The sequence below is a fragment of the Homo sapiens genome, chromosome 4 (genome assembly GCF_000001405.40).
Source record: "Homo sapiens chromosome 4, GRCh38.p14 Primary Assembly".
In the NCBI taxonomy this organism is placed as follows: domain Eukaryota; kingdom Metazoa; phylum Chordata; class Mammalia; order Primates; family Hominidae; genus Homo; species Homo sapiens.
Window position 1 is genome coordinate 102,559,132 of NC_000004.12, and position 26,846 is coordinate 102,585,977.

Sequence of the window (26,846 nt, forward strand, 5' to 3'; positions counted from 1 at the left end):
AACTGATGTGGCTGCATAGGAGTAAGAAGAAAAAGGACGGAGAGGACATGAGATGGTCAGATAGCCTAGGGCCTTGTAAGCCATTATAACGATTTTGTCTTTTAATATAGAGAAATATTAAAGGTTTTTGTTTTAACTTTTTAACATAGAAAAATGTAATCATATACAAACACAGAATAGTATAATGAGCCCCCTTGCACTAATCACTCAGCTTTAACAGCTTTCACTTTGGGAGGATTTTGAGTGAAGGAGTGATAAGACATGGCATGGCATGACATGGCTTGAACAGGATCACTCAGGAAAATAAGCCATGGGGAGACAGGACAAGCAGAGGAAACACAGGAGCAAAAGCTTAGGAGACAGATGATGGTGGCTGGAAACCAAGGGAGTAGCAGTGAAGGTGGTGAGAAGTGATCAGATAGAGGATATTTTTTTGAAGATTTGAATTAATATTATATATATTATACTTTAAAGAAGAATTTGAAAATGCATGTAGTGTAGTAAAGATGGTAAGAAATACAGAAAAGAGGCCAGGCACAGTGGCTCATGCCAGTAATCCTAGCACTTTAGGAGGCTTAGGTGGGAAGCTCCCTTGAGGCCATGAGTTCAAGGCCAGCCCGGGCAACATAGTGAGACTCTGTCTATATGGAAAAAAAAATTAACCAGGTGTGGTGGCATGCACCTGTAGTCCTAGCTACCTAGGAGGCTGAGGCAGGAAGATTGCCTGAGCCAGGAGGTTGAGTCTTCAGTGAGCCATGATCATACCACTGTACTCCAGCCTGAATGGCAGAGCAAGACCCTGTCCCTTTAAAAAAAAAAAAAAAGAAAGAAAGAAAAAGAAATATAAGAAATGGCACTAGAATATCAGTATTATATACATTATTTTCTGTTTAAAAATCCACACAACTGGCAAAAAAAAGTGACATACATGAACATTTATAAGACAGTGCATTTATAAATTACAAACTCTCTGCTCCTCCCATATTATTTTGCAGTGATGAATGATTAGGCCATCCAAACGTAAAGATTTATTTGTAATTTGCTAATGATGGAATGACACCTGTTGAGGTACAAGTTCCCAGCAATTCTTGGAATTAGCAATAGTGTGTTACTTCTTTCTCGAAAGAAGCATGATTTGTAAGCAGCTATATCTGATGTAGTAAAACTGAAAGTTAAAATAAAAAAGGAAACCGTGGGTCAAAGTATGAGGGAAAAGATAAAACTTTCAGAGCAAAGTTATACATAGAGATTTTATTCATCGTCTCTGTGTAATTCACGAGAACTTCTTAGCTTATTTATTATGTCAAATGGCAGTTTGCTCTTCTAATCCCAGCCTGATATCATGAGCCATATATGCTGTTGGTCATTCAAAAAGGGCACTAAACAAGGTGAAAGAATGTCAGTGAATCAATGCAACTCCATGAGTACTACCAGGAAAAGAAAAACAAAAAAACATGCCATTAATAGTGGGTCAAAGAGGATTTTTTTCATGCCATCCCCTACCTTACTGAGAATACCACATTTATATTCAGAAGACTCATAATGAATTCCAGAGTCCTCTGTGTCTTGGCTGTATGACTTTGGGTTATGTCACTTTGTTAATCTGTTTGAACTTCTGTTTTCTTATCTACAAAATAGGGGTAATAGAGTCAACTCTGCCTCCCTCACAGGGACTTTCGGAGGCCCAAGGGTCTTTACAAATAATAGAGAAGGAAAGAAACTGGCACTTTAATAGTACCTACCATGTACCAGGGACTGCGTAGTCCCCACGGCAGCCCTCTGAAGTCATGTGATTGGCCCATTGTGTAGATGTAGAGCTTAAGACTCAGAGAGGTTATTTAATCTGTGTAAGGCCACAGAGCTAGGAGGGGGAAAAGCTGGGATTGGATCACTGACTAGATCAACTTGAAATCTCCTGCCTGACAGAGAAAGAAGAGACTAACTTTACTAAGCATCTTTTTATGCCAGAAACTGTGTTGGACATAATTCTGTACTATCTTATTTGGTAAAGGTCATTCTGTCCTTCCTGGTTGCCCTGGTTGCTCAACAAGTAATAAACAATAAAGCCTGACTGTTTTTCATCCCTGAGAGAAGAAATATTATTAAAATAGCGTTATTCTCTTTCTTTCTTTCCTTTTTTTTTTTTTTTTTGTGTGTGTGTGTGTGCCTGATAATCTGACTTGCAACCTCACAGAAAAGAATGAATGCATGGTTTCATGTCTGTGGCATGACTCTGTGAAGGAGCCTTGCAAGGGGACAGATACACCTCTACCACTTCTTATAGCCATTCCTGAGACCTCTCTTCTCACAACACATACCAGCAAAGCCAAACAAACAAGGTGTTTAGGAATAACTGTCATCTATCAACACTCTCTAGGCAAAGTAGAACTATGAAACACTGAGGAGACTGCACACACACAGAAGAAAAAATGATCATGTCACATGGTAGCACAGAGCAATGGGAAATGTGAATAGTTTGTTGAGGTGGACAGACCCAAGCTCAAGGATTGCCTGATCGCTCCATTTATAGGAACCATGGCAACCTACCTTATCTTACTGAGCCTCAGTTCCTCCAGCTGTGAAATGGGGTACAACCTCTGACCCCACAGGGCTGTTGTGGGGATTATCTGAGTTAGCATGTTCCATAAAACACAGTAAGTTAGAAAGTATAGCTGTATAGGCTCTGGGAGTTTAACAAGCAAGAGAAATTTGACAGTAATCATTTAGTTACTGAACCCTGTCTTCATATTGCGCTAGGTTGCATATGGTTTTCCTGCCTGTCCCTTCCAATCACATTTCAGAAAAAGGAGGCAGTAGTGGAGCCTTGTGGGCTAAAGTGGTGAGGAGGGTGTCATGGAAGATTCAGGTTCAGGTCTTCCTCTTGAAGAATGGGTGCTTCTCAATAGGGAAGTGGAGGAACAACCTGGGAGTTGTCAGCTTGAAGAAAATCCTGAGACGTGATAATGGGTAGGTCCAAGGAGGTCCTGAGTAGGACTCTGAGCACAGAGCCTTTCTTTGCATGTGCTGTTTTTCCTGCCAGCAAGACCCTCTAAACCCTTTGGCCTCACCCACCCCCTTGCCTGGTTATACTCCTAGCCTTCTTTCAGATCTCCACCCTCAGTACTCCCTCAGGAAGCTTTCCCTGACCTCCTGACCCAGTCAAGTGCTTCTTATATATCTCCTTTGTAAGCTCTTCTCAGTTACACTTTTACATTTATTTGTGAGATTATTTGATTAGTGTCAGTCCCACTCTTTAATTCTCCACAAGAACAGAGATTGTGTCTGTTCTGCATTCACCATGCATCGCTTCATCCCCTAGTTTACTGCAGTGTGTGGAACATAGGACGGGCTTTAAATACTCGCTGAATAAATAGAGAAATGTTGGTTATTAGTGAGGTATTACCTAGGTGGGAGAGAGGATTTATATTTGGGATTGCTAATCCCATTAAGTGCCAAGCACTGCATTAACTCATTTAATCCTAAAAAAAAGTCCTATGAAATCAAGTGTATTATTCCTTTTAACTTTAAAGACAGAGAAACTGAAATCCAGAGATGTTAACCATCTTTCCCCGTTGACACAGCTAAGTGGTAACAGTCGGTCTTGAGCCGGGCAGCCTGGCTTCAGACTTCCTAGACTTTACCACATTGTTCTGCTGCTTAGTGCAGTAGAGGACAAAGTGAGGTGCACACGTGAAGTCAGGACAGATTTCCGTTTGAAAATTGTGTATTTTCCCCTCCTCTTCTTCATTACCATTGTCATCATCATCATCATCAATCACTTCACAAGCAAAGCTAAGCAGAAAAGAACTACTTCATGTATCACCTCTTACATTCATGTTAACTCTACATTCTGCCAAAGTGATTTGGCTGAATTTACCCAAAGAGCAAAGTGGACATTTCAAATCCTGATTCCTAGAAAATTATAGACTACATCCTGTAACCACCTTTGAAGAACCAGCATGTACTTTACCCCAACGTGACAAAATTGTTTTAAATAAAAAGAGGTAATTTGACTAAGATTGGTATGATCTGAGACCCATGGTTTCTACATCTTATTCAAAAAGCAGATCCAGCATGTGGTCATCAGTAGGTATTGAGTCATAAAGCTCCTGGAAGAAAATCTTAAGTTTCATCAAGAATGCCAAGAAGTCCTGGGTGTCTCCAAGAATGATAGCTGTTACTATAATAACATAATTACTACTGGAAAATTAGCAAAGCCCAATAAAATATGGCATGCAAAAAAATATTTACCCTGGAAATAGAAGTGACCTAAATCAGTCGTTTATTCCAGCCACCTGCTTTTAGATAGTACTTAAAAAAAAAACTTTCAGGATGGTCATATTGTTTAAAGTTCTCTAGGTGGAAGAGTACTTTACAGTAATAAATTAATAAATAAGACAAGTTAATGCTTTTAAACTACTATTATTTGTTGAGCATTGTTGTAAAGGCTTTACATGCATTAATGTATTTAGTCCTCACAACAACCCTTTGAGATACTATTATCATCATCTCCCTTTTACAGATGGGGAAACTGAGCAGTGCCCAAAGTCACACAACCAGGAAATGGGGAACTATCTTCAAGCCCAGCTGGTTTGCGCCTAAAGTCCATGCTCTTACAGTGTCCCTGGGTAGCTGAGTACTCAGTTTTGTCACCTTTGTCTCCTTGACTTTAACTGAAAGCTTAACTCTTTTTTTTTTTTTTTTTTTTAAACGGAGTCTTGCTCTGTCACCCAGGCTGGAGGGGCAGTGTCTTGATCTTGGCTCACTGCAACCTCCACCTCCTGGGTTCAAGTGATTCTCCTGCCGCCTGCCGAATAGCTGGGATTACAGGTGCACACCACCATGCCCGGCTAATATTTTGTATTTTTAGTAAAGACAGGGCTTCACCATGTTGGCCAGGCTGGTCTCAAACTCCTGACCTCAGGTGATCTACCCGTCTCGGCCTCCCAAAGTGCTGGGATTACAGGCATGAGCCACCACGCCCGGCCCGAAAGCTTAACTCTTAATAAGAGCCTGCAATGTTCAGACGCTTTGAAAAAAACCTAACAGACACAGTTGCTCTCTATAAACTTAATTTTCAAAGGAACCACTATTCAAAGAAGTAAAAGGGAGACTGAATAAAAAGAACTAAGTTCTCCGTAGAGCAAATGAATTTCTGAATCGATTGCAAACAGTTCTCCGTCATCATGACATCCTATGAAGTATGGTCTCCCCCATGTTAGAGTGCCAGTGTCTTCATGTACCATATAACTTGCAAATAGTATCACTGTCTTCTCACACTTCAGCTTTCTTCTTTCATCAGTATTTTGGAAAGTCCACAAAACCCAGGGGGCTCCCTGTCTGTTGCCCTGTGGTCTCTGTGAAAACCAGATGATGCGATGCTGACTTGGACTCTTTCAAATGGATCCAACAGCACATGAGTCACTGGCAGCATGTTCAGCTCCTTTACCTCAGGAATTACCCAGTTCCTCATTCTTGCCACCCTTCAGCCATGAAGTAGTAATATGAAAAATACATGAGTACTTTTTGAGGATACCTCGGACCTCTTTCCTTCAGTACCAGAGACTAATTGCCTCATAATGGTAACATTGAAGAGCCCAGTTATCTGACGTGATTGGGCTTTAATTATGGATTCCTTCTGGTGTCCTATTAAATTGGAAAGCCTAGCTGATTTCACCCAAATGAAGCATTACCTCATGCCTTGCTCTCTTGCATTCCTGTGCTGGTGTCACTTAAAAGTGTAATTACATGGTTTATTTCGTGTTCTTTCACTCTTGATTTATTGCTGAAGAAGCCCCTGTGGGATATATCATCATAACAAAGACTGATTTCAGATGTCAACACCAAGAAACACAACTGGCATCAGCAATCTATAGAGAGTATCTAGGGACAGCAGTCAGCTTTGGAGAAAACCCAGAACTTCTCATACCCCATCCCACATTTAAGGGCAAAGACTTTCTCCTTGTTAAAGGGAAAGCACTGAGTTCATAATTAGCTTTATACCCAGAGTTTTTTTTTTTTTAAATGTTATACCTGTTTAAGAAATTTTTTGTGCTTTGAGGTGGTCAAGATCAAATTTAATTAGCAACCCTCTTCGTGATTGGCTTGCTCTGGGGACCCTGCTCTTTGAGAAGGAGGTTAGAAGGTTTAGAAGCAAACCTTTGCAGCAGTTCTAGCCAAGTGCATGCATACAGGCCTTGAGGTGGAGCTGCACAGTTGACTGTAGGGGAGTCTGTCCTTTGTTGACGAGTGAAACTTCTCTCCCTGCAAACCCTCTGGGGAATAATGCCAACTCTGATCAGCTTTTCGACTCTTGGATGAAATATTGGGTTGGGAAAAAGTCCCTACTAAGAAAATTGTACCAAAACCCTGCTTCAATAAAATATGAATCCATTTAATGAAGTTTATAGTAGAAGTAGGCTAGTCGAAAAGGATTCTGTCTCTTTCCAAGTATTATTGGCAGGTTTAGGGTCTTCCTCAAGTTTATATCATTAGGACTTCCATCAAAGAGTTATCTTTAGGTGTGATTCCCATCCTCCCTCCCTCTCTCCCTCCCTCCCTCCGTCCCATCGTTCCTTCCTCCCTTTCCTCCTTCCTTTTCTACCTTTCTTTTTCTCTCTGTCTCTCTTTCTTTCAAGCTGTGGGCTGCTTGTACAGATTTATGCATTTTGAATTACTGCGTAGTTGAGAGATTTGGGGCTTAGGTTATTCAGTTCTTCAAAAAGTACAGTATGAGCTAAGGAGATAGGGTGACCAACTAATCTAGGTTTTGGCTCCAAAAACCCTGTGTCCCAGAAAACCCCTCAGTCCTAGGCAAACCAGGATAGTAGTTCATCTTGTGAGGAGATTATAGTGCATTTCCAAGTATTTAGCTGAATTTATCACAGGGCTCTGACTTGATAGGATTTAAGAGGGTTAAAATAAGGTCTTTTCTGTTATGTTAGTGTGACTTTAGTCTTGGCACTTTCTCAAGGAAGGAATCCAGTCTACTACAGGGGCTAGGTGACTAAGAAGAAGAAAGAGGATATCTAAGTGTTTTTTGCTAAAAATGTCATTATCTCCATGCTATTTCCTTTTTATTGCTATTGTCATCATTTTAAAGACATACCAATAAGAAATAAATTACTTTAAATAGAAAACTCTAATTTTATCAAGCAACAGCAAACAGGGGTGAAATCTAAGGATTTGTACTTAAGGAGTACACTTTTTTGAATTGAAGAAACTTACTATGACCTGAGCATATGTAACTCAATTATCAGAAGTCAGAGAGGGCTACTGAAGGCTCAGGTTTTCTAAGAGATGACTGGAGGCCAAGTCCTCAGGCTTGAGTGTTTATAGCCAAACTTCAGAACCAGGTCCCTGGCAAGATTCTCCTGTCTAATCACATGGCACAGAGTTAGGATGGACTGTTTCTGCTTACCTGCCTTCTTCCTTTGATTTCCATCAACCACCAGTTTCTTTCTCATCAATCATTTACCCAGCTTTTGTGACCAAGAATTTTGATGAGGATGCAGAGGAAGGCATGTTCTTGGTTAATAGGAAAGGAGGCTTCATGACAACACAGCATCCTCTAAGATGTGTTGCTCCAACTTTCACAATACATATTGTGTTTTAAGTGGCCTGCTTCTTGGAGTGTATCTTCCCACTACACAAAACAACCACCATTAACATTTTCATTTACTTCCACCCTGTCATTTGTTCATCACATACTTTTAAAAACAGGGCTGTAATCATGTATATACATATATGAATAACTTTATATTGTACTTTTTATACTTACTGGCTTATCATAAACATGTTTCCATGTTGCTGGAGAGTCAGATATGCTAACTTTTGGAATGTGCTTCTTATATAGATCTGCAACTATGTGGGACCAGCAAAGGTTATTGTTCAGTTGGTCACAAATGGAAAAAATATCCACCTGCATGCCCACAGCCTGGTGGGAAAACACTGTGAGGATGGGATCTGCACTGTAACTGCTGGACCCAAGGACATGGTGGTCGGGTAAGTAGGGGTATATGATGCTGTGGAAGGTAGGAACAGATAGAATATGGGATGCAGGAACTTAGAATGAACAGGCCCCTTTCATTAGGGACCTTTCTGAGACCCTCAGATGACCTCAAAAAACTGTGTAAACTTGTGCTTTCATTTGGACTCCAGGAAGTAAGGTGACCACATGTCTGGATTTGCTTGAGACAGCCCGGTTTGCCCCTGACCTAATTGTTTATAGCACCCTCTTCTACTCTTAAAGGTGGCCCAATTTGGATGATCACTTATATGTGGTCACTTGACCTACAAGGTATTTGTGCCACTATTAATTTTTTTTCTCCTAGAAATAAAAATAAGGACAAATTTAAAGAAACATAACTATAGCAGAAATCATCACTTTATGTATATTTTTACATTCTTGATGATTTCTTCAGTGGATTTATGGTGTGAATATGTAGGGCTTTAAGTGAATGCATAAATATCATTTCAGCTCTCTGCTGCTTAGAAAGTAATGCACAGATAAGAAGCCAAGGAATGCAAATTTATTTTGGCATTCATTAGGCTTGAAATGTAAATAAAAAATGACGTATTCATTTAAGGGTTGATCAAATAAAACAAGCAATTTTTAATGAATGAAGTTTTATAGAAGTAATTTCAATCCAAAAGAATTAAGCTTTTAAATAAGACATATTTATTGTGCTAAAAAACTTGTATTTTCATCTTCCTAATACACTAAAATGGCACACAGAATAATAGTGTAGCACACAATACAAACTGATATGTGCAATCAATAATTCTAAAAATTGTTGTTTTAAGTCTTTCTTTGGAAGTCCTTAAATGCAAAAGAAGAAATTTTTAATTTTGTTTAATTTTTAAAAACATTTTTCAGGGTTTTCTAATCCTGGTTTAAATAGTTTATGCTGAAATCCCAGTTAATCTGGCTTATTCACTCAAAAGAAAGGAATTGTTTAAATCAACTATAATTAAGCTGATGGTTGCATTTCAGGCTTTGAATTCCGATCAAGTTTCAAATTGGTTATTATTTTGGAGGTTGTGCTTTCATGTTCCTAGGTATTTCTTTGTTTGACTGTGAAAATATTTAAGTGTGAAAAACCTAGAGAGAGAGCTTTCTTTTAAGTCACTAAAATCGGATTCTTTTGATGTTAGAAAAAAAAAAGACTCTAGATTGAAGGAAGAAGCTTAAATTGATTTGAAAAATTAAAGTGTGCTTTATATGAACTTGTTTCAACATCCTCTTGAAAGACTGGCGTGTCTCCTGTTGTATGTCACAGTTTGTTCATCATGTGTTGTGGAATACCCTTCCAATTCCTGATTGACCTAGGAGAGCTTTGAAATGCAGGCTAATTATCACAGTTTTAGACTGATTGATCACTTAGTGTTTCTGCAGATTTATTCCAGTAGGGTTCTGTCAGTTTGAAGTGTTTATTTTCTTTGGTCTTGTTTAATCCCTATTATAATCATATCCTTTAGAGGAAATTTTAGATGAAGTTTTCTACTAGTATTTATTATTATAAAACCTCCAGTATGGTGTCTATAATTTGGTGTTTCTGTGGTTTGCTTTAGTAATCTTTCAGGATTTTAGAAAGAACTAATGGTTATTTAAATTTGAGACCTTAAAGCGGGAATAGAAGTAAATTGTTTCTAAGGAAAGTGAGGGATTCTTTCACTCTTGTAGTGCAGTGGGTTGTGGGCTCAGTAGTTGGGAGAACTCATCAGTCATTCACTCATTCAACAAACATTTTGAGCATCTCAGCTCCTGAATTTGATCATTATGATGTCTGGTTGTAGAGCAGTGAGATTTTCTAACCCTATATAATTTCAGTGAGAAATTTAATCAAGATGCCACTTGAGAGTTACAATAGACTCAGTAGTCTTAACGTTTTTAGTGTTTCCTATGAAAAGTCAGTACTCACTTTCTAATTTGATTTTTAGCTGAGAAATTTTTGCTTACAATGTTTCCCAAAATACACTATTTCTTTCATAATTCATTTGTTTCTATCTCTCTCTATATATACATTTTTAAGATTTTCAATGTCAAAACTTATTGCATTTATGTAGAAAGAACATCGTGCTAGCATTCTGGAAACCAGTATTTTATTCCCAGTACTGTTGCTCTCAACAGAGGACTGGGGGCAAGTTACATGACTTCTTGGGGACCTTAATGTCTTCCCTCATAAAATGAGAGAGTTTCACTACAGAATCTTATCTTCAGGCTGTTTACATCTCCAGAATTCTGGACTGAACTAACATTACGTAATATTATGAAATAACATGAGCAAACTTGCCACACACATATTTATGGTATGACATTGATTATTAGTATTTAGTTCTGACTTGTAGATAAGAGTATCACATAGAGAAACTTAGGAAGATAGCCAAAATTATGTCTTAGACTTGTCAATACTAGAAATGAAGCTAAGATAACTTGTTTTCAATAATACAGATTAGGCAAAGAGTATAGATTCACAAGCAAGACACTAATCCAACATACCAAAAAAGATATCCAAAAAATGGCAATGAGAAGACAAATAACTTTTAAATTGTCAAAACCAAAAGAATTACTTTCTTTGGAGTGTTTATCTTCATCTTTCCCTCAGTATGAATTCTTAATAAACTTAGTTTCTACTTTCAAAAGGATTTTATCTATGTTATAAATATTCATGTTTTAAATAGCCAAGTCTTGATTCTGGTTTGATTGCTGTAATGTAGGGGATTTGTCATTTTAATATTTTTTAAGTTAGCTTTAATTTTGTCTTTTTTAAAATTCATTTATATAATTAGCCTTTACTGCCTTTCTTGGTAAAAAATAATAATAATAATCTTAGTTTGGTGTTTTATTTTAAACCCTGAATATCAACAATTTGTTTCAACATATTTTAGTTCGTTGACATTTTTATTCCATGGAAAATATCTGTGTTCCTTGACTTTGCTTTAGGCCAGTTCACTTACCAGTAATCACCACACTCTCTCTGCTTTCTGGCAGTTTAGAGACATGGAATTTTTTTCCAATTAATACATATAGCATATACCAACTGGTAAGCACTAGGAGTAGATATATAAATATCAAAATACAGAGGAGAAACAAGGCCTTCTTCAGTGTCTGTTGTTCCCCTTTTTGTCCATGAGTTCTCATCATTTAGCTCCCACTTACAAGTGAGAACATGCAGTATTTGTTTTTCTGTTCCTGCATTAGTTTGCTAAGGACAGTGGCCTCTAGCTCCATCCATGTTCCTGCAAAACATATGATCTTATTCTTTTTTATGGCTGCATAGTATTCCATGGTATATATGTACCACATTTTCTTTATTTATTTATGTTATTGATAGGGAATTTAGGTTGATTCCATGTCTTTGCTATTGTGGATACTGCCGCAGTGAACATTAACATGCATGTGTCTTTATGGTAGAATGATTTATATTCCTTTGATTGTGTACCCAACAGTGGGATTGCTGGGTCAAATGGTAGTTCTATTTTTAGCTCTTTGAAAAATCACCACACTGCTACAAAATCAATGTGCAAAAATCACAAGCATTCCTATACACCAATAACAGACAAACAGAGAGCAAAATCATGAGTGAACTCCCATTCACAATTGCTTCAAAGAGAATAAAATACCTAGGAATCCAACTTACAGGGGATGTGAAGGACCTCTTCAAGGAGAACTACAAACCCCTGCTTAATGAAATAAAAGAGGACACAAACTAATGGAAGAACATTCCATGCTCATGGATAGGAAGAATCAATATCGTGAAAATGGCCATACTGCCCAAGGTAATTTATAGATTCAATGCCATCCCCATCAAGCTACCAATGACTTTCTTCACAGAATTGGAAAAAACTACTTTCAAGTTCATATGGAACCAAAAAAGAGCCTGCATTGCCAAGACAATCCTAAGCCAAAAGAACAAAGCTGGAGGCGTCACACTACCTGACTTCAAACTATACTACAAGGCTACAGTAACCAAAACAGCATGGTACTGGTACCAAAACAGAGATATAGACCAATGGAACAGAACAGAGCCCTCAGAAATAATACCGTACATCTACAACTATCTGATCTTTGACAAACCTGACAAAAACAAGAAATGGGGAAAGGATTCCTATTTAATAAATGGTGCTGGGAAAACTGGCTAGCCATATGTAGAAAGCTGAAACTGGATCCCTTCCTTACACCTTATACAAAAATTAATTCAAGATGGATTAAAGACTTAAATGTTATATCTAAAACCATAAAAACCCTAGAAGAAGACCTAGGCAATACCATTCAGCACATGGGCATGGGCAAAGACTTCATGACTAAAACACCAAAAGCAATGGCAACCAAAGCCAAAATTGACAAATGGGATCTAATTAAACTAAAGAGCTTCTCCGCAGCAAAAGAAACTACCATCAGAGTGAACAGGCAACCTACAGAATGGGAGAAAATTTTTACAATGTATCCATCTGACAAAGGGCTAATATCCAGAATCTATAAAGAACTTAAATAAATTTACAAGAAAAAATCAAACAACCCCATCAAAAAGTGGGCAAAGGATATGAACAGACACTTCTCAAAAGAAGACATTTATGCAGCCAAAAGACACATGAAAAAATGCTCTCATTATCACTGGCCATCAGAGAAATGCCAATCAAAACCACAATGAGATACCATCTCACACCAGTTAGAATGGCAATCATTAAAAAGTCGAAACAACAGGTGCTGGAGAGGTTGTGGAGAAATAGGAACACTTTTACACTGTTGGTGGGACTGTAAACTAGTTCAGCCATTGTGGAAGACAGTGTGGCGATTCCTCAAGGATCTAGAACTAGAAATGCCATTTGACCCAGCCATCCCATTACTGGGTATATACCCAAAGGTTTATAAATCATGCTGCTATAAAGACACATGCACACTTATGTTTATTGCAGCATTATTCACAATAGCAAAGACTTGGAACCAACCCAAATGTCCATCAGTGATAAACTGGATTAAGAAAATGTGGCATATATACATCATGGAATACTATGCAGCCATAAGAAAGGATGAGCTCATGTCCTTTGTAGGGACGTGGGTGAAGCTGGAAACCATCATTCTGAGCAAACTATCGCAAGGACAGAAAACCAAACACTGCATGTTCTCACTCATAGGTGGAAATTGAACAATGAGAACACTTGGACACAGGGTGGGGAATATCACACCCCTGGGCCTGTGGTGGGGTGGGGGGAGGGATAGCATTAGGAGATATACCTAATGTAAATGCTGAGTTACTGGGTGCAGCACACCAACATGGCACGTGTATACATATGTAACAAACCTGCACATTGTGCACATGTACCCTAGAACTTAAAGTATAATAAAAAATAAGCAAGTTTACAAGGGCAAAAATAAAACAAAAAAGAAAAAGCACCACACTGCTTCCACAGTGGCTGAACTAATTTGCACTCCCACCAGCAGTATATAAGTGTACCCTCTTCTCCACAGCCGTGCCAGCATCTGTTATCTTTTGACTTTTTAATAAAAGCCATTCTGACAGGTGTGAGATCATATCTCATTGTGTTTTAATTTGCGTTTCTCTAGTGAGCTTTTTCCATATGTTTGTTGGTGGCATGTGTGTCTTCTCTTGAAAAGTATCTAAAACAGTCACTTATCTTTTAAAGAAACTTTTTAAATCAGAAAAAAGGTGTTTATATTTAACCACGTATTTATCATTTGCAGTGCTGTTCATTCTGTTTCTTAGGTCAAAATTTCTATCTGGTATCATTTTCTTCTGCCTCAGGCACTTCCTTTTATTATACTGCTGATCTGATGCTGATTAATTCTTTCAGTAGGTGTATGTTTTCATAGCTTTTTATTTTATCTTTGTTTTTCAAAGATATTTTGAAGAGTATAGAATTTTAGGTAGACAGGCCGGGCGCAGTGGCTCACGCCTGAAATCCCAGCACTTTGGAAGGCCGAGGCGGGCAGGTCACCTGAGGTCAGGAGTTCAAGACCAACCTGACCAACATGGAGAAACCCCGTCTCTACTAAAAATACAAAATTAGCCAGGCATGGTGGTGCATGCCTGTAATCCCAGCTACTCGAGAGGCCGAGGCAGGAGAATCACTTGAACCTGGGAGGCAGAGGTTGCGGTGAGCCGAGATCGCACAATTGCACTCCGGCCTGCGCAACAAGAAAGAAACTCCGTCTCAAAAAAAAAGAATTATAGGTTGACAGTATTATTCTTTCACATCCTTAAACTATGTTGTTCCACTGTCTTCTGATTTGCCTTGTTTCCAAGAAGTCACCTGTCAATCTAATCTTTGTTCCTCTGTATATAATTTTTTTTTCTCTCTAGCAGCTTTTCAGATTTTCTCTTCCTCACTCGTTTTAAGCAATTTGATTATATGGATATTAGCATAGTTTCCTTCATGTTGCTTGTGCTTGGGGTTCATCGAGATCCTTAGATCTCTGGGTTTATATATTTAGTACGTTTTAAAACTTTTTGGCCATTATTTTTTCAAATATATTTTCTGTCCACTCCTCTTCATCTTCTTCTGGAACCCCAGTTGCACATATATTTGGCTATGTGAAATTTCCTACAGCTCACTGATGACCTGTTTTTTAAAAAATCTTTTTTTTCTCTTTCATTTTGGAAAGTTTTATTACTGTGTCTGCACGTTCACCAATATTTTTGTCTGTAGTGTCTAATATGTTCTTAATTCCATCTAGTGTATTTTTTCCTCTTAGACATTGTAATTTGCAATTTCTATAGATTTGTTTGGGGTCTTTTTTTTTCATATCTGCCATGTTACTCCTTAACATACCAATGCTTTCTTCTTTTTCTGATCATATGGAATATATAATAGCTATTCAATGTACTTGTGTACAAATTCTGTCTTCTGGATCTATTTTTGTTTAGTTTTTGTCCTAATTATGAATTATATTTTTCTATTTCTTTCCATGCCTGTTAGTTTTTTATTGGATGACAGGTATTTTGAATTTTGTATCGTTAAGTCTTGGATTCCTTTTTTTTTTTTTTTTTTTGATGTGCTTTTAAATACGTTTGAGGATTGGGATGAAGTTAAATTTGGGAACAGTTTGATTTTTTTGATTCTTTCTAAACTTACTTTTAAGCTTTATCAGAGAGACCAGAGAAACCTTTACTCTAGGGTTAATTTGACATCATTGCTAAGGCAGTACCTTTCTGAATTTTCAACCTGATGCTCCATGTATTACAAGATTTCTTGAACTATTCCAGCCCCATATGTGTTACAGTAATTTTTCTGCCTCCACCTCTGTGGTGGTTCTTTTCCCAGCTTTGACATATTTCCTCACACACAGCACTCAGCTGAAGACTCCAGTGATCTCTGAGTGTATCTCTGTTTGCGGTTTCTTCCTTTCCGGTACTCTGCTTGTGAGTTTTAGCCTCCTTGGCTTCCTCCAATATTTAACTGTGTCTCCTCAACCTCAGAGATTGCCAGGCTCTGTTGGGGTTCCTCCTTCCTGTGCTGCAGCCTGGGACTCTTTAGGCATTAAGCCAGAGTAATTACAGGGTTCACCTTATTTATTTCCCTTTTCTTAAAGATTACTGTTCTGTGCTGCCTGTTTTCTAGTGTCTAAAAACCATTTCTTCATGTATTTTAGATATTTAAGGTTCAAACCAGTCTGTTTTACTCTATCGTTACCTGAAGCAGAAGACTGACTTCTGTACTGTTTCATTTGTTAACCAGAGTAAATCCTTCATTATTCACATAATAAATTAATAAGGATGATGTTTTTCTCACAGGGACTAGATTAGGCAATATACATGAAAAGCATATTATTGACAGTAAAGTGTAAGATGCTACACAGATGTTTATCATTGCTATTACAAAGGAGATAACCCCGTTTTCCTGCAGTTAGGGAAGTTCTATATGGGAGTAAGGCTGAAAGGGCCAAAAGATATAGGTATTGTTTCTGAAAAACTGCCTATGCTTCTATGCATATAAGTATGTCATGTTGCATATTTTTCTGTGCTGTATTAATTCATGCATTCCTTTATCAACAGATACTTATTAAACACTCATATGTCAGGCATTGTTCTAGGGACTAGAGATCTCTGCCTTCAAGGAGCTTATTTTCTAGTGGTATATTTTCTGTTCTGTGTCTTAGCTATCCACTTTTTTCATCTGCCTGGACACGTGACTTATTCTGTCTCTGGGCCTCTGGTATGAGTGCTCATTTCATTCTGCCTTATAACTCCTATTTTCTTCCCTACTTTATCTGACCTTCCTACCTTAGCTTGTTCATTCTTTCCTTCAATCCAGTTGTCATGAAATCTCTTTCTTTCCTCTACTAATTTTTTTTTTCTTTCTTTCTTTCTGAGTAAAAGCCAGAGATCTGGCCCCCTGCTTACCTCTCTGAATTCTTCACTTACTTCTGACAACTTGCTCATTTCACTCCAGCTACATTGACCTCCTTGCCTTTGTTGTGTTTTGAAAACACCGGCGTGGTCCTACCGCAGGAATTTTGTACTTACTGTTCCTTTTGCCACATTCATCATTCATATGTTCATGTCTTCCCCATCGCTTCCTTCAAGTTTTTGCTCAGTTGTCATCTTTTTACTGAGTGTCCTTCCTGACCTCTCCCTACTTTAAAATGTTATGCTTTTTTCTACTACCTCTCCTGTTCCTCATTCCTACCTTATTTTTCTGGATAACACTTATTGCCTTCTAAATTGTATCGTATAATTTACTTCTTTGTTTCTTCTCCGTTGTCACACTAGCATATAAATTCAGTGAAGGTAGAGATTCTTTTACTGCTGACAAAAGCATCTAGGACATTTCCTGGCACTGATAAGGATCTGCATAAATATTTGTTGAGTGAATGAATCTCCTTGGTAAAGTCCTTTTTTGTTTGCCTGTTATATTTATTGAATAGACTTCTTTGTTTCATGTACTTTAATTTCAAAAGTGAATGGCTGGAACATTTTATATATTTTCTTATAAATCATTTTCATTGCTTTTTAAGCTTATCACATATTTTGTTTTATAAATATGTAGCCTTCGTGAGATAAAAGATTCTCCATCCCTGTTTACGTGTATACTTAGATGACAACTCTAATGGTCATAAATAATTCCAACCTTATAGATAACTCAGGAGAAGATGAGATTATAAGTAGACTTTAAATCCCATTCAGAAACCCAAGGACAATTCAAAAGGAAAATAATCATTCCAAATATAATATTCTTCTTATTCTTAAGAAGTTGTTAGTATTTTGAATTTTGAATTTTTAATACAGCTCCCATAGAAAATACTTTAAAATGAACCCGGTAAGACTTCCTCATTAAGACATATAGACACATATGCTCCCACTCCCGTAATCAAATTTGGAAGTCAAATAAGCTCTGAAAACCAAAACATTCTTCCAAGTTTATTGCAGACTCATTTGGTAGTAAAAACCAATCTGACCTGATGTGTAGCTGTTTATAGTCTTTATTTTTCCATTTGGTGAGTCCAATTATATATTTCGCTGAGGAAATACTAACGTGTTTGACTACATTGTGTGCCCCAGACCTGCTTAGAGTATTATGTAATATGCAGTATAGGCCATATATTGCCTTTTTAACATCAAAAATACCCTAAATTCTGAAATGCATGTAGCCCCAAGAGATTTGTATAAAGCATTGAGGGCCTGTGTATTTTTTTTTAATTTACAAGTGAAGCCAGATTCCCTAGACATTAAGTGCCTAACTTTTGGTTGTTGTTGCTGCTGCTGTTACTGTTTTTTCTCCAGCTTCGCAAACCTGGGTATACTTCATGTGACAAAGAAAAAAGTATTTGAAACACTGGAAGCACGAATGACAGAGGCGTGTATAAGGGGCTATAATCCTGGACTCTTGGTGCACCCTGACCTTGCCTATTTGCAAGCAGAAGGTGGAGGGGACCGGCAGCTGGGAGGTAAGCATCATTTTCCTGGCCTTGATCCTCCAAGGGGTCCAGGCTTTGGTTTTCATCTGTATGAATTATATGTTCATCTGCATCCCTTCCAGTCTCTACCCCACACTGCTGTCACCTTTTCCTTGCTCAGAAACCTTTGATGGCATCCTGCTACTTCTAGGATAAAAACTATAGCTCCATAGCCTGTCATACAAAGCCCTGCTTCTCTGGCCCCAGCAACTTTCAGCCTCATCTCCAGCCCACCTTGCATCCTCCTCTTGCCATCTCTGCTCTCTGAATAACTGAGGCATATTTATACCTTTGTATGTGTCTTCCTTTACCAAAAACACCCCACCGTTTCCATTTCACCCTCTCGAAAACCAATGCAGAAATCAAGACTTTGTCTAAAGAACACCTCTGTTTTACCTTCCCCAACTCACCTTATTATAAGGCATTTTTCTTTCTTTGGGCTCTGCAGACACATTATAAACTATTATCTTTATCATAAAAATTGTATGATTTTCCATTTTCTTGCCTTTTCTCAAATTTTTTTTTCAACCCCATTCCCTGTCCCACCACATGCCCCATTTCTACTTTTGTATTTTGTCCTTTACTCTGGCCGTCCAGTCGTCATCTGATACTCATGTGATTCAAAACCGATTATCAGTTTTCCACTAAATATACTCCATCTTCTGATACCCAGACTCAAAACCTTCCCATCCTCACTGACTCCCCCTCCTCGCCTGTGCTGCGAGGCTGTGGTCCAGCCATTCCGTGCTCTCTGGCATTCCACACTACATTCCATTTTCATTGTTCCACTTATAGTAGTCTTCTCCCTGGTCTCTGTCCCTCCCCACTTCTAATCAAGTTTACATCTTGTAGCCAGATAGATATTACTGAAGTTCTGTATCTTGTTGCTGCTCCGTGTCTCCGTTTTGCCTACAAAATCCAAATTCTGTAAGTTGGCTTTTTGGATCTCCCAAGAGCTGGCCTCAGGCTGCATTTCCAATCTATTTCCCGTTTTGCCCCTTCAGGTCAAAGTCTACTACTTGGTAGGAGCACCATGATTTCTCACTTTCCTGCCTTGGCACATTCTTTCTATTTTTGCTCTCTCCTCTTCCTGGAATGCCTTTATCCACTCTCTTATATGAATGTGTTCAAATTCTGCCACCTTTTCAATATTCAGAGCAAATACCTCTTCTGCTCCAAAGCCCTCTGAACTCTCTCCTTCTTTGAAATCCCACATCACTTCATTTGTAGCTCTCTTGTAGTACTTGTCTCTTGAATCACTACCTTTTATGATATTATAGCTTAATTATGACTATATCCATCAGCGTGAAAACTCCAGCAGGAGGGAAGGAAACAGATGTCCCTGAGTCATTCAGTTCCTTCAGAAGTTGTTTTTGAGTACCTACTATGTGCCAGGCTGTCTGCTTGGCACTGTGGAATGAGCTCACTCCCTGTGCCCAAGCAGCTCTTGGAATAATTTGCACACTTCTCAATACAGCTGGTGCCTAGTAGGGTTATTCAATTCCATTCCATCACATCCTGTGTGCCTTTAACTCTTACTGTAGAGAGGAAAGGGAAAGGTGGGGGAAGGACAGGAGAGGAGGGAGGCGATCTGATACACGGAAGAGAGTTTTTACTGTAATCCGGAGAAAATGCAGGTCTTCTTTGATGCCTTTCATATTGGATGACATAAATGAGACTGTTTTTAACACTTTATTAGCAATATGAAGAGTTTCAAAAGAGGAAAAATGGGTTTTTATTGTAAGTTTACATTATTTGGGCTTTATAAAAGCATGGTCTTTTAAATGTTCACACTTCCCTGGGCATGAATGGACTGTGCTGTATGGCCCTAGATCGGGAAAAAGAGCTAATCCGCCAAGCAGCTCTGCAGCAGACCAAGGAGATGGACCTCAGCGTGGTGCGGCTCATGTTTACAGCTTTTCTTCCGGATAGCACTGGCAGCTTCACAAGGCGCCTGGAACCCGTGGTATCAGACGCCATCTATGACAGTAGTGAGTACTTCACTTCCAACAGGGGGCACACCAAGAATAGACTTCCAGCCCTGCCCTGCCATTTACTTGCTAGCTGAGTCCTGGGGAAGGTAACTTAATCACTTTAAGCCTCAGCTTTATCATCTGTAAAATGTGAATAGGAAAATCTAGCTTGAAAGGTTGATGTCCAGGTTAAATGAGGTATTTTAAGAGGGGCTCAATACATGTAATTCTTTTTCCTTTGATGTACATTTTTTAGTCTTTTACATGAAATGTCACATCTCATCTTATTTATGAATGTCTTGCTATAAAGATATATGGTTGATACTTTTAGAAGGGAGAATAATCCCAATTTTCTTTGGTGGTGGGGGGACTCTGGAAAGGAGTTTATAAAAGACAACTATTATTCTTACCCATTTTCTTTCCCATATGTTACTAGCTTTATCAAGAGAGAAACTTGAAGTTAAATGAATGAGTAGCATAGACAGCATGTGACTTCAAAATCCTATTTCAAGCCGGGTTTGGCGTCATGCCCTGTAGTCTCACCTACTTGGGAGGCTGAGGTGGGAGGATATGGAGTTTCAGCCCAGCATGAGCAACATAATGAGACCCCATCTCAAAAAAAAAAATATATATATATATATATGTATATATATATTAATTTATAGTTCCTAGGACTTTTTAAGAGTTTTACAGTAATCTTCAGCATTTACCATGCAACTTTCTTGTTTGATTATGCATAGGATTGATTAGACAGGTATTTTCAAAAAGCCTGCAAGCATAGTACTCAGACTCATTGAAAGTTTATAGAATTTGGCCTGTGTGGAAAACTCTGTGCTCCAAGTACAACAACTAACTGAATTCTCTAATTTAAACAACTTTGAAGGGAAGTGAAAGGTTATAAAATGATACAGACTCATACCGCAGAATCACCTTAAAATGCAGCTGTTGGAGAAAAAAAAAAAGGAAGCTTTATGCTATTACCACAAGAAAGTTTTGCCTCTTCACCACACAGAATCCTAATTTAGTTTGGGAAAAAGAAACATAACATCCCCATTTTCCTTACCTGTAAAATAAAAGGTAGTAAGTAGTTTAAGAAAACTGTACTTTTCCTAAAGTTTTTAGGACTCTTGTAAATAGAATAATAGCAGAATCATGGAAACAAATTTGGAATTGAAGTCTTGACCTCATTGAAAGCCCAGAAATCAATTAGCTTGGTACTTCCCAATACATCAGAAAAGCTCTTTCTCTTTTTGTGTCAGTCTCTCTGTGTTAGAGGGAGAAACAAATACCTGTTCCTTTCTACCTCATTTGTTTTGGTGATCATAAATGACCCATGCCCAAGAAGTGTTCCGAGAATTTCAGAAGCCATTCTTGTTTTATTTACTTTGTTAGTGAAAGCATGTATTTAAGCTTTGTTTTGGTCATGTGTGCTAAGGGGAGGGTCCTACCTAAAGGACTGGCTTGTTGAGCTGAGGATTAATCATGTTATTTGTTGTTTTTCCCCTGTGAACAGAAGCCCCCAATGCATCCAACTTGAAAATTGTAAGAATGGACAGGACAGCTGGATGTGTGACTGGAGGGGAGGAAATTTATCTTCTTTGTGACAAAGTTCAGAAAGGTAAATACATTCTGTGATCTCTGATCTCAAGAGGTGTGATCTTGACACACTACAGTTCTGAGTGTGTCTGTGAGTCACATTTCAGCAGTGGACAAGAAACATCCCTCTGCTGCCACAGAAAGTCTTAAAAAGCATTTACGTTTTACCTCTTCCAAATGTAAATTGTCTGTGTTATTTTTTCCTAAGTCAACTAAATCACTTTTAGATTTCCCATGGAAGTAAAAAGAAATAAGAAAACCGTGATAATTATAATCAGTGACTTTCAGTATCTTTATACATTAAAATTAATATCTGTACTTTGTTAAACAAAAATAAATAATAGCCCATTCTTGACACACATACAAACACACACACAGAATAATGTTTTACATAGTATTAAATTGTTTTTATTTCTTTTGCAATGCTTTGATATAACACTGAGAGAACTTCTCTGAACACTTCCACAGATGTGATGTTTAAGAAAAGGAAAGAAAACAGGGAATACAGGGAAATTCTCAGAGCACATTTCTCTCACAATTTTCCCTTTGAGGAAAGGTTCTTGGCGTTTATCTTTCATTAGATATATTACAACATTGATAGATTAGTAAAAGCTGAGGAAAATGTGTTATTTTCTCAAACTGCATTCTTTTTTTAAATAAAATGATAGTTGGAAAGTGTAGTATAATATCTATTTACTACAGGGTGAGCATTTTCAAAGTAAGCAGATACCTAACTGAAAATATAAATAAGTAAAATAAATCAATAAAAGACATGTGGCTTTTAAAAAAATTATCATATGAGATTAAATTCTCTGAGGTATATAGTCAGAAAAAAATGGGATCAGATTTTAAAGTAAACACATATATACTTTATCCAAAAAAATTTACAGGCCAGGCATGGTAACTCATGCCTGTAATCCCAGCACTTTGGGAGGCTGAGGTGGGAGGATTGCTTGAACCCAGGAGTTTGAGGCTGTAGTGAGCTATTATCATGCTGCTGTACTCCAGCCTAGATGACAGAGCGAGACCCTGTCTCAAAAAAAAGAAGTTTACACTTTCTCTGCCTACACTAGTGTCAGCCTTCTTCCAATCCACTCTGTCCAAGTAATACTCATTTCCAGATTCCTGGGTGTACATACTGTGAGTAAACACAATCTGAGTACCTTTATTTGTAAATGAGATCCTTAGTCATTATCATTACATTGGAATGGCTTAGTAAGAAATGTCTTGTACTTGGCTTAAAGAATCTCAATAACTAGGTCCAGTGTAGTCCTACCTGAAGGCAAAGGAGATTGTAAGATGTTTTATCCATTCCTAGTATTTCTAAAATTCTACTTACATAGAGATAAAAACTTTGAACAAAGTCAATAGTGTGGCCCTTTCTATGAAACGGAAAGTGAAGCCAGGAAGATGCCAACCTAAGTTACATTGTCACATTTCTGTAGAAGTGAATAGAGTATTTATAAACATGCTGAACATGGAGTATTTATAAACACACTCCATGACTAGAGTGTGCAATTTAAGCATTGCATTTTAATTAGAAGGGACCTGATTATTATAGTATTTTGACCAATTACTCAATATGAACTAAGAGACTATTATAGTGAGACAGTTTAATAGTGTGTTAAGAGCCTGGACTCTGAAATTATACTGTCTATGTTAAAATCCTGGTTCCTCCAAGTACTAGCTGTTCAGCCTTGGATAAGTACTTAACCTCTTTGGACCCCAGTTTCTCTTTTGCAAAGTGAGGATAATAATAGTACCCATCTACATCACAAGGTTGTGGTGAGGATGAAATCAGTTAATATGTGTATATATGAAGCACTTAGAATAGCATCTGCCATACATTAATAGTAAAACTTATATAAGTTAATTATTTTTATGTACATCTATATATTGAATTGCACTGCCTCGTTGGATTCTAATATTCTTCCACCATCGTTCGTGTTTCTCAGGATTGGCTTAAGGATGGAGAAGCAGTAAGGTCAAAGATTAAAAGAAAATTCAAGTTAACTAGGTAAATCTAGTATTCTGTCATTGTGAATGAAAGTTGGGGCGCATTACTGTGGTAAATAATGAAAAAAGTCAGTGATTTGTGAAGATTTTAAAAGACTGAACCTTTTGATCTTGTTTTTTAAAAGTGTAAATAGATAGTAGGTAGAATATTAAACCAGTTTTATTTTTCAGCATGTTTATAAATACTATTTACACTATGTGAAATTACACACTTCAATGTGATTGTTTGCAGATGACATCCAGATTCGATTTTATGAAGAGGAAGAAAATGGTGGAGTCTGGGAAGGATTTGGAGATTTTTCCCCCACAGATGTTCATAGACAAGTAAGTGATTTATTATTATTATTAATCCTTATTATTTTTAGAGATGGGATCTCACTCTGACACCCAGGCTGCAGTGCAGTGGTACAATCACAGCTCACTGTATCCCCCAACTGTTGGGCTTGAGGGATCCTCCTGTCTCAACCTACCAAATATCTGGGACTACAGGCATGCTACCATGCCCAGCTAGTTTCTTCAGTTTTATTTTTTTTGTAGAGATGATGTCTTGCCATCTTGCTCAGGCTCGTCTTGAACTCCTGGACTTAAGCGATTATCCCACATTGGCCTCCCAAAATGCTGGGATTATAGGCATGATCCATATTACTATCATCATTTTATACTTTCTGCCTTATTGAAATTTAGTACTTAGCTTCCATCTATAAAAAAGAAAAATCATAAATATTTAACTTCCATAAAACAGTACTATTTTTAAGACTCATGCAGGTCATCCAAAAAAGTTACCTACTGTAGAGTTATGGGCAAGGTTCTGTTAGATCGTTTGCTCTGAGATGTTGGCAAGATATTTAATTGCTGCCTAATCCCCTAACCCATAAGACAGTGCCCCACAGGTCCTTTAATGAAAATGTTTTTAAGTGTTCTACCAAAGTAATTATGATGAGACCTATTTTATGATAGCACCTAATTATGATAACACCTTAAAAGGGTGTTCTAGGAGTCATCTTCTAATTGAAGCTGATGTCATCCTGTTAAATGAAGATTTCCCAATGGCAACTGATTAAATGATCAGTTTAATCATTTAATAACATGATAATGCTGAGCCCCCACCTTAATTATTATTCTCCTATTTACAAGTAATTGAAGAGTATTCTCCTATTTACAAGTAATTATCTGGATTGGAAACAATCCAGATATTCATCAGTAAGTGGCCAGTTAAATTATGGTCTGTCCTTTTGATGAAATATCATGTAGTTATTCAAAAGAATGAGTACTCTGCGAACTAATATAGAAAGATCTCAGTTATACAGTGTTAAAATATTTTAAAAGATGGGTGTAGAACAAAGTGTGTGTAGAAATGATTCTATGTTCATGCATAAAGAAATTCTGGAAGGATACCTAAGAAATTAATAACAGTATTTACCACTGGCTGGTACACTGTAGGAACTGCATGGATGGGGAACAAGAATGTCAAAGAGAATACCACTGTATGCTTTTTTATATTTTATAAGATCTTTATCCCTGTGAATATATTACATAGTCAAAAAATCAAACTGAAAAATGCTTAAATCCCTAACATACCACCAAGAACTAATGTGTTATGATGCCAATGTAAGCAATGTTTAGTTTCTTCTCTTCATCACTGGCCTGTAGCCATCTCTCTCTTTCCATACCCAGTCTTTCTGATGTTGCTCTAAATAATCTTGGAGGCTTTTAAGGCTGCTTTGGAAGAGAAGAAAGTATATGCAGTGAATTTTATAAGCATGATATTTACAACTAGAAGACATTTGAAATAGACAAATGAAATAATAAAGCTTCGTAGTACATTAGCATAGCATTGTATTTTGATTTTACAGTAGCAATTTCATAAAAATGTATCGGTATAGAATTCTGAGTTTGGAACTTTCTCCAGGACACGGTGTTTTTTAGTACACTGTGTCTAAACATTGGGTATAAAGAAAAGCATAAGGAATGTGTTTAATGAGTAGCATTACTGCAAAAAAAAAAAAAATGTAGTCCTACACCAACATGTGGTTCTTCGTATCCTGCAGTTTGCCATTGTCTTCAAAACTCCAAAGTATAAAGATATTAATATTACAAAACCAGCCTCTGTGTTTGTCCAGCTTCGGAGGAAATCTGACTTGGAAACTAGTGAACCAAAACCTTTCCTCTACTATCCTGAAATCAAAGGTAAGTCAGTTGTTTAAAATCTTATGCTCATATTTTATTTTATTTTATTTTTGGTTTTTGTTTTGTTTTGTTTTGTTTTGAGACAGAGTCTGACTCTGTTGCCCAGGCTGGAGTGCAATGGTGCAATCATAGCTCACTGCAACTTCGAACTCCTGGCCTCAAACAGTTCTCCTGCCCCAGCATCTCAAATAGCTGGGACTACAGGTGTGCGCCACCATGCCGGGCTAATTTTTTTTTTTTTTTACTTTTAATAGAAATGAGGACTTCCTACATTGTCCAGGCTGGCCTTAAACTCCTGGCCTTAAGCAGTCCTCCGGCCTTGGCCTCCCAAAGTGCTGGGATTACAGGCTTGAGCTGCCATGTCTTGCCATTGTGCTTGTTCTGAGAAGAGGACAAGCTAATTAGAAAAGATCAGTTAGTCACCTCCTTTGAACAGCTTTCTAGTAACAGGTCCCTGGATCCATGGTGCTTATTTTTAGAAGAGACAGTAGTATATTATTTTGAGGTCATGGAATTAGTCTAGCTTTTTAAAATAATGTTATTTCCACCAAGCTTATATGAGATTTAGACATTGAGAATTTGTCTTTGAATTTGAGAATCTAACATTTATTGACTAACTCAGAGTTCAAGCAGCTGAGATGAAAAAATCAGGCTTGCTGTTTAGGAGAATCAGCCAGTTAGTCAACCAGCCTCAGGCGGTGGAACAGAAAACTTGGCCAACATGCACTGTGAAACTATGAAAATGAGTAAGGCATCATTCTTTCTCTCACAAAAGATGCTTTAAGAAAGGGCACTCATAGGTTTCTTAAATAGTTATAATGTAAATTATGATTTTAATAAGTACCGAAAGTGAAGCATCCATAAAAATATAAGAGAATGTTGAAGAGAGAGCCCTTGGTCCCTTTATTCTAAAGCAGCCTCCAAAAAGAAGGCTTCGTCAAGGAGATATCATTTGGCCCTCAGCATTTGGGGTATATTTCAGCAGTTGGGTGTTAAACAGAGAAGGAGAGGGTTCTCTAGGTTTAAGTTACTTGAGGAGCTTAAAGAGAGAGGTAAACACAGCGTTTATGCAGAGGGAAAAAAGTGTTCTGAGCGCTCGGATGGACATGAAGGCCAATGTGGGTAAGGAAGGCCAGGGCCAGGCTAAAGAGGGCTGT

The 26,846-nt window shown here is 37.7% G+C and overlaps 1 protein-coding gene and 1 long non-coding RNA gene across 14 annotated transcripts in view; one reads left to right on the forward strand and one right to left on the reverse strand.

The window, feature by feature from the left end:
- The window catches only part of NFKB1 (nuclear factor kappa B subunit 1), a 115,944-nt gene that overhangs the window by 57,773 nt on the left and 31,325 nt on the right, over nucleotides 1–26,846 (forward strand). For 11 of the 12 annotated variants that reach the window (NM_001382626.1, NM_001382627.1, NM_003998.4 and 8 more), the window contains 6 exons: nucleotides 7,856–8,004; nucleotides 17,745–17,908; nucleotides 19,750–19,908; nucleotides 21,404–21,508; nucleotides 23,735–23,826; nucleotides 25,551–25,689. In NM_001382626.1, coding sequence (NP_001369555.1) covers nucleotides 7,856–8,004; nucleotides 17,745–17,908; nucleotides 19,750–19,908; nucleotides 21,404–21,508; nucleotides 23,735–23,826; nucleotides 25,551–25,689 — 808 coding nt within the window. The remainder of the gene's footprint in view (nucleotides 1–7,855; nucleotides 8,005–17,744; nucleotides 17,909–19,749; nucleotides 19,909–21,403; nucleotides 21,509–23,734; nucleotides 23,827–25,550; nucleotides 25,690–26,846) is intronic. The other variant, XM_024454069.2, reaches the window with a different exon arrangement.
- LOC124900742 (uncharacterized) lies at nucleotides 1,340–7,539 on the reverse strand. Of its 2 annotated transcripts, none has more exons than XR_007058206.1 (3): nucleotides 7,421–7,539; nucleotides 5,694–5,797; nucleotides 1,340–1,427 (listed from the first exon to the last, which is right to left on the reverse strand). It is a non-coding gene; the product is annotated as an uncharacterized LOC124900742 (long non-coding RNA). The 2 variants fall into 2 exon arrangements; XR_007058207.1 differs by lacking the exon at nucleotides 7,421–7,539 and adding an exon at nucleotides 6,160–6,247.